This window comes from Homo sapiens, chromosome 5, assembly GCF_000001405.40.
Source record: "Homo sapiens chromosome 5, GRCh38.p14 Primary Assembly".
NCBI classification, from domain to species: domain Eukaryota; kingdom Metazoa; phylum Chordata; class Mammalia; order Primates; family Hominidae; genus Homo; species Homo sapiens.
The window spans coordinates 156,368,603-156,383,332 of record NC_000005.10 but is presented as its reverse complement, the minus strand read 5'-3'; the positions used below and the strand labels follow the sequence as shown (position 1 = coordinate 156,383,332).

At 36.8% G+C, this 14,730-nt stretch overlaps 1 protein-coding gene and 1 long non-coding RNA gene across 10 annotated transcripts in view; one reads left to right on the top strand and one right to left on the bottom strand.

The window, feature by feature from the left end:
* The window catches only part of SGCD (sarcoglycan delta), a 1,039,957-nt gene that overhangs the window by 384,456 nt on the left and 640,771 nt on the right, over positions 1–14,730 (bottom strand). The gene's annotated exons all lie outside the window — the stretch shown is intronic.
* The window catches only part of LOC124901120 (uncharacterized), an 85,782-nt gene continuing 78,115 nt past the window's right edge, over positions 7,064–14,730 (top strand). The window contains exon 1 of the long non-coding RNA XR_007059016.1: positions 7,064–7,205. This is a non-coding gene — a long non-coding RNA (uncharacterized LOC124901120). The remainder of the gene's footprint in view (positions 7,206–14,730) is intronic.

Sequence of the window (14,730 nt, the reverse complement as noted above, 5' to 3'; positions counted from 1 at the left end):
AGGGTTTCACCATGTTGGCCAGGCTGGTCTCGATCTCCTGACCTCAAGTGATCTGCCTGCCTCGGCCTCCCAAAGTGCTGGGATTACAGGTGTGAACTACCACACCCGGCCAATACCTCTATTTCTAAGCATCAAACTTTCCATGTTGATAAGCCCCAGTGATGAGCATAGAATGTACCACACAGCACATGGCCCAGGTTTCATTACAGTATTATGGTTAAACTTCCAGGTTCCATGTCTTTGTTTTTGCTATAATATCAGTCCTTTGAACCAGGTGGCATTCATGAATGCCTATCTACTCTTTAACAGCTTCTTATAAAATTGCCTGATGGTCATGTTACACACTGGAAACAGCTTGTTTGTTGCTAAGGATGCAAACAATTATGCTAAATAGTTATTTGCCATGAATGGAGTACCTTAGTTTTAGTCACCAGAATGCCCTTATTAAAATCTAATAAGGAAAAACCTGGAATGCCCAGTTTAAAATCTAATAACTGTTTTTTTCTGAAATTGTACTATAAGCTTTGAAAGTACATAAAGTCTCTTATGTAAATCACCAATTCTAGACATCTCAAATGAGACAAATTCACTTTGTTTACACATTTTGGTGAAGAGTTTAGAAAGCTGACAAACTATATCCCAGCACCGATATATCCTCTACTAGATTTAGAGAATATTATATCCCTACTATTATTATTATAACATGTCACACACGTGTCCCTGATTTTTATTACTTTTTATTTTAAACCCCTCATCATAGCTCTTGAAAACCATAATTTTTAAGTTTAGGTTTTGAATAACTATCGGAATTTGTATTAAAATGAAATAGAAACATTTAGTAAATTTAGCCTCGATTTACAAGTACATCAAGACACCAAAGAGTGTTCTCCATTACTCCATTAAAGCAGTCCTCAGCATTTTCTGGGCGCTTATGCTTGTATATATCCTGATAGGCTTTTTGCTTTTATTCCTTATGGACAGTAACATGAGTGAGCTTCTACAGGTCTTTGAAGTCTGCAAAGCAATTTCACATATTCTCGCTGGCTTCTTTCAGCAGGGGAGTGTTTAGGGCAGAGAAGGACATGATGATGTGCCAGGTGACCATCTAAGAGGCATTGATTAAATATGTGGAGAGGGACCTATGAGCACTGTGTGGCCTGAGAGTATGGGTTTTGGAATGAGTTTCCAAAACCTGGGTTTGATTCCTGCTTCCACTGTTATTACTTATGGAATTTAACATTCCTGGGCCTTTGGTTGAGCAGCCATAAAATAAGGATAAAACCATACATACTTCAACAACTTGTGGGAATTAAAGATGATAATGTAAAAATTATGTTTATGATAATAATAAAAACATACATTGACCACTTACTATGTGTTAAGTGATTTACACAGATTATATCATTCAATCTAACACCCATAGGAGGAATATACTATTATTATCCCATTTTTATGGATGAGAAAACTAAGGCAAGGAGGGTTTCAGTAACTTACTCAAGTTCACAGAGGCTTAAATGTTGGAGCTGAACCCCAGCTTTGAGCGGACTGTCCCTAGAGCTTCCAATCATACTACTGCCTTATACTCCCTTTCTGCTGTGTACCAAACCCTTTAAAGATCACTTTCAGCTTTAAAATGCTATGCTTTTATGACTTCTATATTAAAGTGTACCTTTTAACACAGACACTGATGGCTCAACTATATGTGTCATATAGAAATATAAAATGCATAATGATTAATTTTATAAATATGCACATGTATGTTTACATGAGGACATTTACCTAGTAGAACAAAGTACTACATTTATATTGGAATATAATGCTTATGGATGAATGATAACAAAAAGCTTCTGCCATGCCCCTGTGCCCAGCTCCCCAAACTACCATCCCCAGGGTAGAGCTCGAGATTCGTATTCTGTATAAAAGACCAATTTGATTTTCCTTGCCAAGAATGAAAAATGGTATTCCAACTTGATTAGGATTCGCAGAGGACACCCATTCTCTGCATCAGCAGCCTTACGTTTCCTTTTATCTGTGAGTTGTTTTCTTTTTCCAGAATGAACACATAATGATAAGGAGTGCTCAAGCAAGCTTGCTTTGCAGCAGCCCCATTTTCTCACTTCATAACCCTCATTCCTTTTATTTAAAGAGCCTCAGAACTGCTAGAATGCAGCAGGCAATTCACAAGCCTGATTACCTTGGCCTCCACCCTGGCTTCCTTTGATACCTCCAACTCATTTCTTCCTGAGATGTTTTTGTCTTTGATTTCTCAATTGCCATTATTTTCAGCTGATGTCATGGGAGAGGAATGAGAGAGACTTCTTGGAGAATTTCATCATTTACTCTCAATTTATTCTGTTTCCTAAGTTACTGAAACGGTGTCTCAAACTCTGATGCTACCACCATGCACACAATGCCTGGAAAAGCATACATCTTCTACTCGACTTACGAGAGAAAAAGATGTATCATCACATCCCATGCCTTGGCTTTGCCTATAATTCAAATTAAAATGCAAACCACAGCCTGCCTATATACATCTCTGGGCTCTGCACTACACACTTGATATCAATTCTCTTGCTTCACACAAAAAAATCTTGAGAGATTAGTACCACTATCCCCATTTTACAGATGAGCAAACCAAACTTCAGAGTTTACAGACATATTTAATATCACATGGCTAGGAAGTTGCTGAAATGGTGTCTAACCTACATCAGTCTTAACCTCCAAGCCACGTTCTAAATATCTGCCACTCAGGCATCACTACTTCTAAACACAAGTGAAACCACCTGCTAGCCTTGTAAGTCACAATGCCTCATGCAAGTCATTTGCTAAGATTTTCTTTGAATGAGTGAATGAGAGAATGAATACGTGCTTGAAAACTGTGCTTGCTCCTCCAGCTTTTGTAAATTCTGCCTAGTCAACCCCTTCTGTTGTAGGAGGAAGGTTGTATTTACATTTTTCAAATAAGCAAAAGATATACAAAACACAAACTATGTATTCATCAAGTGAGGGTTCTCTGAGATTTGGTTAAGTAGTATAGCATTTCAACGTCTCCTTTGGCTTTGGTAAGGTGTGCAGTACATTAACTTGTTTCTTTGTTACTGCAGCAATTCTCTGAGACCCAGAGGGAACACAGATGAGCTTAAAAGAGCCTGGAAAAATAATCTAAATCAGATGTTTGCAATGATCATTTCAACCAAGAACAGAAAATTAAAGGGTAGGGTTCAAGACTCAACCACCAAGAACTCTAGGAAACACCCAAGACCACAAACGCTGTGCCTTGAATGGGCTCTAGACCTGGGGGAGCCCACACTTTGGAATTCTTTGTTCTTATTCGAACACAGGAAAATAATGCTAAACAACAGATACACTCAGCATAAAACAAATCCAAAGAGTGGGCTATTTCTCATTTGCAGTCAAATTTTTTGCTTTTTCTTTTTTCCTAAGAGAGTTTTCTGAACAATTCTGAAGGAATCTTCAAAGTCAAAAGACTGGTGTTATCCTGGATTTCTCCTTTTCTCACAATCAACATTCTATCCAGCAGAAAATTCTACTAACTCTCCTTTAAAAATACTACCCTCTCTACTTCACCGTCACTTTGGTCCAAGCCACTCTGTGAGCCTGGATTATTGTAATAGTGTTCTACCTCATCCCCTTCCTTCTCCCCTCTCCCCTTCTGCTGTGTATTCTCATTACAGCAGCCAGACAGATGCTTTAAATAAAAACTATAATCACTGCTTTTCTGATTAGGAAGTGGCTTCCTCTGTCACTAAAAATTAAAGTTCCAAACTTGTTCTGATTTACAGACACTCCATGATCTAGTCCCTACTACTCTATCCTGTCATCATAGTGCTTCAGCCACACAGAAGGACACTTCTTTCTGTTTCTTGAACACACCATCCATATGGCGTGTTCCTCAGGAATTTGCACATGCTGCTCCCTCTGATCCTCTCTGCCCAGACATGTGCATGCATAACTCCTCTACTTATTGCAGATATTTACTCAGTATCCTATGTGAGGCTTTTCTTGGACTATCTAAACTTTCAACTCTAATCCTCCAATGACATTTTCTAACCTCCATCTATGACTTATTTTTCCTCCTTAGCAATTATCACTGTCTGAAATATAGGTATTTTCCTTTTTATCTTGTTTAATGTCAGATTCCACATTAGAATGCAAGCTTTATGGCAGATATTTTTTATTTTTATTTTGCATCTTTGGAACCTAGAATAATTGGCATCTGATAGGTACTTTCAATAATTGTTAAAAGAATAAATGAATAAAGTGAATTATGAATAGGTTTGTGAGTACATAAGTAGATGAAATGGAAGTAGATGCAAACATTTAGCACATGGTAGACATTCAATGACTGAATGGATTAAAAAGTGATTCATCATAAAAGGCAGTATCTGGGATGGTGATTTTATACTTTAGAATTATCTATATTTTATCATATGCAATATACATTTTTAAAATTATTTTTAACCTATACAGAACTCTATACATTTTGTCCACATACTAACTCTTATTTTATTCACTGTTGGTAAGCTGAATAGAATTATATTGCCTTTTACATGTGACAAGAGAAAATAAACTAATAGCTCACCACCAGTGACAAAAATTGAAAAAAATTCTAAAAGGACTGATTATTTTGTTTAGGTTGAGTGATGGGAAAATGGTAGGAAAAGTCTTTTTTGAAAACAAAAGTTGGCTTATATCAGAAAGTAAACATACTGGGAGCTTATTGATGGTCATGAGATTGCAGGGGTCTGTATAGGTGGGGGGAATTATAAAATGCTAGACACAACACGGAAAACATTTATTAAACTGTGGTAAAATACACAACATAAAACTAACCATCTTAACCTTTTAAAGTGTGTAGTTCAATAGTATTAAGAACATTCACACTGCTGTGAAAGCATCCCCATCTATTTTCAGAACCTTTATCCTGCAAAACTGAAACTCTGTATCATTAAGCAATAACTCTCCAGTCCCCTCACCCCTTGGCAACCATCTTTCTACTTTCCTTCTCTAGCAATGTGACTGCTTTAACTATCTCACACACGGGGAATCATACAGCATTTGAGTTTTGTAAATGACTGATTTCACTTAGCATAAAATATTCAAGTTTTGTCCATGTTGCAAAACAGGTCAGAATTTACTTTTTAAGGCTGAATAACATGTCATTGTATGTCTATACCACATTTTATTTATCCATTCATCTGTCAATGGATGCTTGGGTTGCTCTACCTTCTGTCTAGTGAGAATAATGCTACGATGAACACTAGTGAACAAATATCTGCCTCAATCCCCGATTTCACTTCTTTGGGATCTATACCCAGAAGTGAAATTGCTAAATCATAGGAGAAATAAAAATATTTGTGTGGAAGTTAATAAGCATGATTGTTGTTTCAAACCACTATGTTAAATAGCAATGGATAACAAACACAATCCATAGACCTTGAGTTTTTCTCATACCAGAGATTTCATATTCATGAGATCAATGTGCAATTAATGGAAAATGCAACACCAGAAACAACATAATTAACTCTATCCATTTTACTTAAAAAATGGTATAGCCAAGAATGGGGGTACCTAATGGACATTATTGGTAGTAAAGAGTGTGTGTTTTAGCCTACATTTTACTGATCTTGAATGCTGGAACCCACCAGTACACACCATTCCCATCTCTAAGTGCACTGCTGGCTTTATTTTCAGTGAGGACATCCATTCATGTACTCCATTGTCTACTGAAAGCCTGTCGTGCACTAGGCTCTCTGAATTCAGCAGTGACCAAGACAGAAACAATTCTTGCTTTCATGGAGCTTAACATTATTTAGAGAATAAAGGCATATATTACATAAATTATAACAAATCATTACTTTTTTGGCTGTGATATTTGCTCTAATAAGAAAACATAGTGTGTTGTGAGAATACTGAATAGGCTAGCCTGCAGGATAGAAGCAGTGAGAATCAACATAAATTTTATAATGCGATGGGAGTTGGGCATCCATTAACATATCAAATTTATTTTGCAGTGTAAACAACCAATATTAAGCATCATTAAATTACTCCCTCCAAATTTAAAACCACATTCTAGAAGATTCAGCTTAATGCTGGCAATATTAAGATGCTTATCAGATGAATTAATTAGACTAATTAGCTTAAAGTTTAATTAAATAGTAAGTATTAAGTTCATTATCCTCATAACACTGATTTATTTTTTAAAATAGAGGTTTGGGATTTTACATGACTTTTTTTTCTCTGTAATGTTTTATTTTCATTTTAGTGGTTTCAAGATATTTATATCTTATGAAAAACTGTTGAAGAGGCATGCTTTATATTTTTAGTCATTTTTTTTATTGATGATTAATTTTGGCTCTCATCTGTTACTTAGCCATGGTACTCAAAGTGAAACCCCAGAATCAACAGACACAAACTTCCTGTTTTCACCACTGTCAACAAATGGAAATTATATCTTTTAAAAATTCTATTTGTATTAAATTATTTTAATAGAGAGCACCTTGGGCCACTTTTGTTAATTCCCTGGTAAATTTGGAGACTATGGCAAGTTCAATAAACTTCCTCTCCTAAAAGTATAATTTTCTCCTAAAAAGTATAATTAAGGCTAAAATACTTTTGAAAAACACAAAGATACTTGATTAGTAACCAATAAAAAAAAATCTGATGCACATAAACCATTTTATTCTACTCTGATCACCTAAAAGTCAGATTCAGCTGCTCCATTTGTAAATGGGTATATTTATCTTGCCTTCCCAATCTCATTAGGGTCAATGTGAGATAACATATGATTAACAAAATATCAAAGTTAAACTTGTAAATTACATATGCATGATTATAGACTTCTGGAGATTAGTTCATCAAAAATTTATGTTCACCTTTCATATTTTGAAGCTGCTACTTAAAGCAGTTACCCAACCAGGGTTAGCACTTCCTAGCCCCTCTTCCATCAGTCATGACGTTGTGGGTGAAATCTTGTCAACAGATGTACATGTAAATGACACTGGCTAGTCCCATACAAATTTCCCCTACAATTCTTTGTGTTCTCTCACTCTATGTTTGCTGTGTGGATGTTAACACCCAAGATGATATGGGGAGCCATTGCAATAAAAATGGCAAAACCTCCTTTAGACTGGGTTCTTGAGTAACTGAGCAGAGCTTTCATCCCAGGCAGCCACTGTTTCCAGGTGAGTGAGCAACAAACTATTTTGTTAAACTGCTGACATAGATTTGCCTGTTACAGAATCTAGTGTTTGCCTCACACGGTTAAGCACTGATATGAAGTCACTGATCTTCTATCTATAACTGTACATATACGATAAATCAATAATGTAGATCTTACATTTTTGTCATAAAATGTCAGTCATTTTCAATGTTTTAAAAGGTTGACTAGCTCACAATTTTAATAAAAATAAATAAAAGAGAAAATTTTAAAGCAAAATAAATACTGTAAAAATATAGCAGAGTTTCCAAAATAAACTCTGTATAGGTAGATGAGGGCTTCAGTAGGATGCGCTATAGTCAATTAACTTAGAGAATTTGAGTTAAAAAATAATACAGTCTCCTTATGGCATAAATACATAAACGTTCAGATGCTTTTATAAGCCAATGCACTCTTGTACATCTTCAAGGAGTGAATGCAGTGAGCATGGGGAAAGAATTGTTTAAGCTTTTCCTCAGCTTTGAACAAAACATCTTTATTTTCCACGGCATTTCTTGAAACAATCATTTAATGGGGCACACTTTGGAAATGATCACACAGCACAGCTATAGTCTGGAGATTAATATTACACATGGGTGACCATCCTTCTCACTCTCACATTTTCCCACTGTCTTTATAAGGAGCCAGACCACAAGACCATAGGTAGCACCATTAATGCTTCAACAAGTACTCTTTAAAAAAAAAAAAAAAAAAAAAAGCTGTGAAGGATATTACTGGGGCAACTGACAAAATCTGAAAATGGACTGTGGATCAGATAATAGAATTACAGCAATTTTAAGTGTCCTGAGATTTTATTATTGTACTATGCTTATGTAAGAGAACATTACTGTTCTTAGGAAATACACATTGAAGTATTTAAAAGCAAATTACCTTCAGATCGTTTTTTAAAAAGCACATATGGGGAAGCAGACGGAAAAAATCGGAAGGAGAGGGAAAGAGAGAGGTTGACAGAGAGAAGGAAAGGGAAGGAGTGGGGAGAATAAGCAAATGAAGTGAAATGTAAATAACTGGTGAATCTTGGAAAAGGATCTTCAAAAGTTTCTTTTACTACTCTTGCAATTTTTTGGTAAATCTGAAATTTTACACACACACGCAAAACAAAAAAGACTGTGAAGAGTGATGTTCTATAGTAAGTAGGTTTGATATTCATTTTGCTTGTGTTTCATTTCGAACATGTCACAAATGTTTATTTAAAATTGCTATTCTCAGAGCTGAATGACACTAGCGAGACTGCGAGCTTTGACTCAGGCTGCCTCACACCACGGCTGGAGTGTTGGTATGCTGTCAGCATGTCAGGGGCAAAAAGACAGTGTTGCTTTGGGAGAATGGCGTGAACCTGGGAGGCGGAGCTTGCAGTGAGCCAAGATCGCACCACTGCACTCCAGCCTGGGCAACAGAGCAAGACTCCGTCTCAAAAAAAAAAAAAAAAAGACAGGGTTGCTTTGTATTGTTTATTCATGCAGGAAGCTTCTGCTCCAAGAAACAATTGAGACTTTTTCTTTCAAATTTGCTTTGTTTTTTAGCAAAAATCAATCAATTTTTTTTCTTCCATCAACGAATAGGTTGAGTGCTGAAAAATAAAATGCCCAATTTGCTAGGTTTCTGTTGCTCTTGGAGAAGAGCAACTGAAAACTCAATAGCTGATGACCAAGAAAACTATTAATGTTTTGCTCCCATGTGAAGCTGACTGGCAGTAATGACTCCACAGATTACTTTTGCGTTATGCTATAGTTGGTCACGTGTTACTTTCTCCACAGCTTGGAAGATCTAAAAACCCTAGTTATTGTGATCAAGCCAGGCATGAGTGAGCTTGTTTCACAGGTATTTTCTGTGGCACAGGTTTTGGGTAAGAAAAGTCCTTAAATCAAAAATATATTTTAGGCTAGAGAGTGAAATGAGCAATTTTAACACTAAGGATATTGCCATGCATTTTTTTTTTTTTTGTATTTTGAACATTTTCTTAGCTCTGAAGTTTCCCTCTCTGTAGCATTATTAATCTCTCTCCAAACTGCACCATTTTTATCCGAGTTACTGCTTATCACGAAAAAATAAAATAAAATGTCCGTTGACTCCACTCCCGCCCCTTCAACTGCTGTTTCATTTCTCTACTCTTCTTCTCAGCAAAGTAACATGAAAGAGGCATCTAAGGTCTTTGTTTCTATTTCGTCACCCACACAGCACAGTCTGGTTGGTCTTTCCATATCAAGCCCTCCATGCTGACCACTGGGTGATGTGGATCCAAACATAATACAAACCCAAACAAAATTATCCATGCCACTATGTCACACCCTCTTGGCCTGAGCTAGCAACAGCCCTTGGTCTGTGCCTCATTTTACTGTTTAAATGGCTTCAAAATATCTTAAGTTAGGTGGTAGTATTCTAATTACAATTGCTATCCGTTCATTTTCTCTTAGCACTGAAATTCTGTGAATTTTAAACATTATTATTAAAGTCAGAGTCATGGAGATTTCTGGAAATGTAAGGCAGTTTGGCTCACAGTGGCATTCTCTAAAATTAGGCCTAATTTCTTCTGGGTAATAAATGCTTTCACAGAGAAGGAAAGAATCCTGGTGAATTTCCAAAGTAAAATGTGTAATAGACTGTTGTTAAATTAATTCTTAAATGTAGCGATTTTTCCAAATATAGGTTAGCCTTGGGCGGTCTCATTGCATTACTTACTTTTAAGTGATTAAAGGTAACGCTTACCAAATCAATAGGAGATACCAAAGAGGGAACATTAAAACTAAAATTAGCATTGACTGAAGACATATACAAAAATATGAGATCCTGTTTTTCTTGAAAAGTCCAGCAAAATTATTGGAGAGTACAGAAAAAGAAGAAGTCGAAAATGTAATTGGATTGGTAAGTGTTCCCCCTTACAGATATCTTTTTAGAGAAAATTACACTCTTCTGTAAATTATCTAAAAGACATGAATGCTAACACGAGCACAAATGAAACCTACTCTAATGTCTGGACAGCTAAATTATGAGCAACTCTTAATGGCATATTTAAACACCAAATACCTCTGATGATCAAGAATGGCCATTCCATCTCTCTGGGGTGGTATGAAAGAAGACACAAATCACTACATTTCTCTACACCTTAAATGTAGAGAAATGCCATCTTCATTATGGCATCTCAGGGTGGAAACACAAAGGCAAAGGAGTACATGATTGTCACCTAGAAAGACCTGAAGAGAATATAAAAGGAAAATACAAAACCCATATTCAAAGCTCCTTGATCCTGAAAGACATGTATTTAGAACAAAAAATTTTAGCACCCAATGGGTAGCAGCAAGCTGAAAGGAATCAGTATGCTGAGGGAATGCTGAATGCAGTTTTAAAAGCTTCAAAATGTCTAATTTGTAGGAGGCAAAGCTATGTCCACTGTTCCAAGGTAACTAGCTAAAATAGCCCATGTTTCCTCAAAGTATTCTGAATAAATTGCTAGCCCTGCCTTCAAGGAACAAATATTTTGGTTGATGGAGGAAGATATATATATATATACAAAGTTATCTACAAGTAAATGTTAAGTGTGATTATATGTGCTCCTATAATTTTAAAGCAGCCCAAAGGGAGGATGAGGTGAAATCTAAGCCCAAATGAAGACTACTTCTTGGAGAAAGTAAATTCAAACGAGCCATGGTTGATGGCTTCTTAATGGACTGGAGAGTGCTAAGATTACAGGTGAGAATAGTAAAGCTACCCATTGTTGATGACTACAGGCCATCTCTTATTGCATCACATATCTGTGAAAAGCTGCACCAAAGTAAAATATGCAAGTCAAATAATGGATTAACACATATAAAGGTGCTATAAAACATAAATCCCACGATACCATACCTCTTAGATAATATTCAGTGATATGTTTCCTGCCTCTTGCCATGTTTTTTAATTTTGCTCTTTTCCATTATAATTTCACACAATTAACTAGCTGAGGTCCAAAGAGGGCCTGGTAGAAACTGCAAATTCACCACTGTCAATTCACTTATGTCCTACATTGCCTCAATTGTCTTGAGACCTCTGCTTTTCATCATAGCTTGATTTTTCCAGTTTTTAAAATAAGAGAACTAAGGGAAATGCAGTGCCTTTTTAGAGTGATGGCATAAACCCTGATGGAGACATGGAATATCGGTCAATGTACAATAGCTCTGACATGTTAGTTGCTACACAAAAGTCCAAATTTAACATATAAAAGACACGTTAGTGTAGTCAACATGTCTTGTGTCTTCTGTTACTTAAAAGACAAAGATGTGCTATAAACCATCAGGCCCAAAGGCATGGAGATTAGACGGAGCATATCATGGGGCACTGAATATATCTTCCTAATGACGATGGGGGAACATTTATTGGACAGTGTGACAAGTCTAATGGACAACTCAAAGTCTCTGTAATCAAGCTGCCCTGAAACTACAGTAAGTTTGTCAGTATCACAAACGTGGTTCTAAAGGCAGTTTGCTGATGATCAAGGAAAAGACTCACATTTTGATTCCGGGCTTACTTCTCACCTCTCTGATGGAACAATTCCAGGGGTGGCACATTTCTGACACTCGGTCCTTTCTCTCCTTCTCTCCTGCCTGTAGCTCCTATCATACTTAGACATGGTCTCCAAGAGGAAACTTTAACTTTTTCCAATCAACTACTAGACTTACAATTTTTTCTCCTTGTTTTTTCACTCCTTACAAGTATCATGAAAGGAATTCCCAGAGTTTCCTTCATCAATCCTAAAACCACTAGATTTGTCTCTGTAGAAGAGAACCTTAAAGATTTGCTCAATTTGTAATACAAAAAATTACTCCTAAAGAGAAACATCTTCCAGAGTGGATTAAAATAATAAAAAACTCAAAAACCAAAACAATTGGTTTTCATGATACAAACATAAGGACTGCTTCAATTGGTCTCAATTCTGCTTAAAATAATCCCTAGGCATGAAAATATAGGTATTGTTCTCTATATTTAGCAGAAAGGTAAGAAAATGAATTCAATACATTTGTAGTTGCAAGTTTTCTAAATAAGGGAAAATCATGCACAGGGACTAGGGTAGAGTAAAAATAGAAACCTAGGCTGGTAACTATATGCCATAAGGGGAGAAAAACATCACTGTTTTTTTTTCCCCCTTCCAGTACACAAATCATCTACTTGCTGGTTTGCAAATAAAAAAATATAGTAATTCCTCCCTCAGCCTCCCACAGAATCTTAGAAATTTGAAGCCAATTATTTTTAAATGTATATTTCTTTGCCGACTGCCCTAATATTCCACTTACTCACCGATGTTCTGTTTGTCCTCAAAATCTCCCCTCTACTTTTTGTTTTTTTGCTCCTATTAATGTCATGAAATGATCTCTATCAACTCCGTAAAAAAACTGTCATGCATCCACCACACTCCCTCTTGGAATGTGTATGTTTCAGTCTTGTAAATTTCATACTGACAATCCCATGCAGGTGACAAAAGGGTTCTTATGTCAACGTTTACTAGAAATGTATTTTCAGACACCATAATATCATCATAAACGAATAAAGCACATAAATCATTCATCAGACACCAGTGTGCAGAGAATAGTAATAGGCCCTTCATGAAATATTTCATGTACAAACTCTGAAAATGCTCTTACATGGGCAAGTTACCTCACCTTTCCAAGTCTCAGTTTCCTCATCTGTGACCTTGTGATGATAGTGTTTACTTCCTGGCCTCCTGAGAGGATGAGACAGGTAAGATGTGATGTGAAGCTCTTAACTGTGTTTGGTATACAGGGAATTCTCCTCCCTCTTCCACAGCAACATGTATCGCCTGTTGGAGAGCTGTCCTCAATCCCACACCCCTGCCTTCTTGGCACTCTGTTTTTTCATCAGCCTCTTTGCTTTTCCTGTCATTGCCAACCAGAGGTCTCCCTCCATGAAACTGTGCTTTCTGAGCCTGTGCGTAATAAAGTATTATTCTCTCAAGGTCACTGAGCAGAATCTGCGACCTTAAACTTGGATGCTGATATCTGGAAAGCAACTGACCTTTATGGAGGGTGCCCACTGAGAACACCTGACTCAAGCCATGAAATGCTGAATCATTAACAATTTAGAGCAGAAAAGAATTTAACCAAGTTAGACAACCTGTAATAGCTCTTGTGACTAGGGCCATTAAGGCCATTTTGATGTAGTTCAGATCAAACTAATGACTGTGAAGAGAAAGCACCTGAAAACAAGTAGCCTGATTCAACTTTTCTATTTCCATTTTAAACCCCATTTGGAATTTCTCTGGTGTGCCTTCCTAGGTTGACATTTTTTCCCACATCAATCCATTCTAATTAGTCAAATGGTTTTAAACCCCCAATGTCTATTAAAAAAATCCCACAAACCTCTGCACACTGACTGTCCGGAGTTTGCAAAGCAGAAGAGCTAAATTTAGATTTAAAATCTAACTCTCTCCCCTACCTTTCTTAATTACTATCAAATGCCTCTAAAAGCTAGTAAGGGAAATGTAGATGAGTGGAATAGACTTGGATTATCCAATAGGGAGTGGCAAGCACCATAGTGAAATGCAAGGCACATGCACCTCCTTTAATGGCTTTCAAATTAACAGCAACCAAAACATATTCAACGCCCTGCAGGTCTAATAATACACTTCTGCTAGACAAACTGGCCAACTATTAGTCTATAACCCCAATCTAATCCAAGACTTTGGTTTCAAAAATGAGGAAATTTAACCAGAGAACTCTAAGTGGATTGTTTCAGGCCACATTAGATGCAGGTTTGCCAGTGGGATGTCTTGACTCCTAATCCAAAGCCCCCAAATTCCTCTTCACCTTGCTCCTGGTACACTTAAGGGACATAAAGAAAAACAACACTGCAAACAAAAGTCCTTATGGAGTATCAACTATGTTCACTACTCAGTTCTAAGCACTGGGGTAGGTGAAAAAAAATCATGGTTTTGTGGCCCTTGCCATGAAGAGATTAATAATGTGTTATGTTACCTTTTCTATTAAGCTTAAACCCTCTGTCTCATACACACAGGCTTCCACAGACACTTATAGATCTCAGAGCTGCAGAGAATTACAGGGAATCATCTGGTGTACCTCACTGCCTTCAAGCATATAGAGCAGCGGTCCCCAACCTTTTTGATACGAGGGACTAGTTTTGCAGGGGATGGTTTCAGGATGATTCAAGTGCATTACATTTATTGTGCACTTTTTTTCTATTATTTTTACATTGCAATATATAATGAAATAGTTATACAATTCAGCATAATGTAGAATCAGTGGGAGCCCTGAGCTTGTTTTCCTGCAACCATACAGTCCAATCTGGGGGTGATGAGAGACAGTGACAGATCATCGGGCATTAGATTCTCATAAGGAGTGCACAACCTAGATCCCTCATGTGTGCAGTTCACAACAGGGTTTGTGCTCCTGTGAGAATCTAATGCCACCACGCTTTTGACAGGAGATGGAGCTCAGGTGGTAATGCAAGTGATGGAGAGTGGCTGTAAATACAGATGAAGCTTT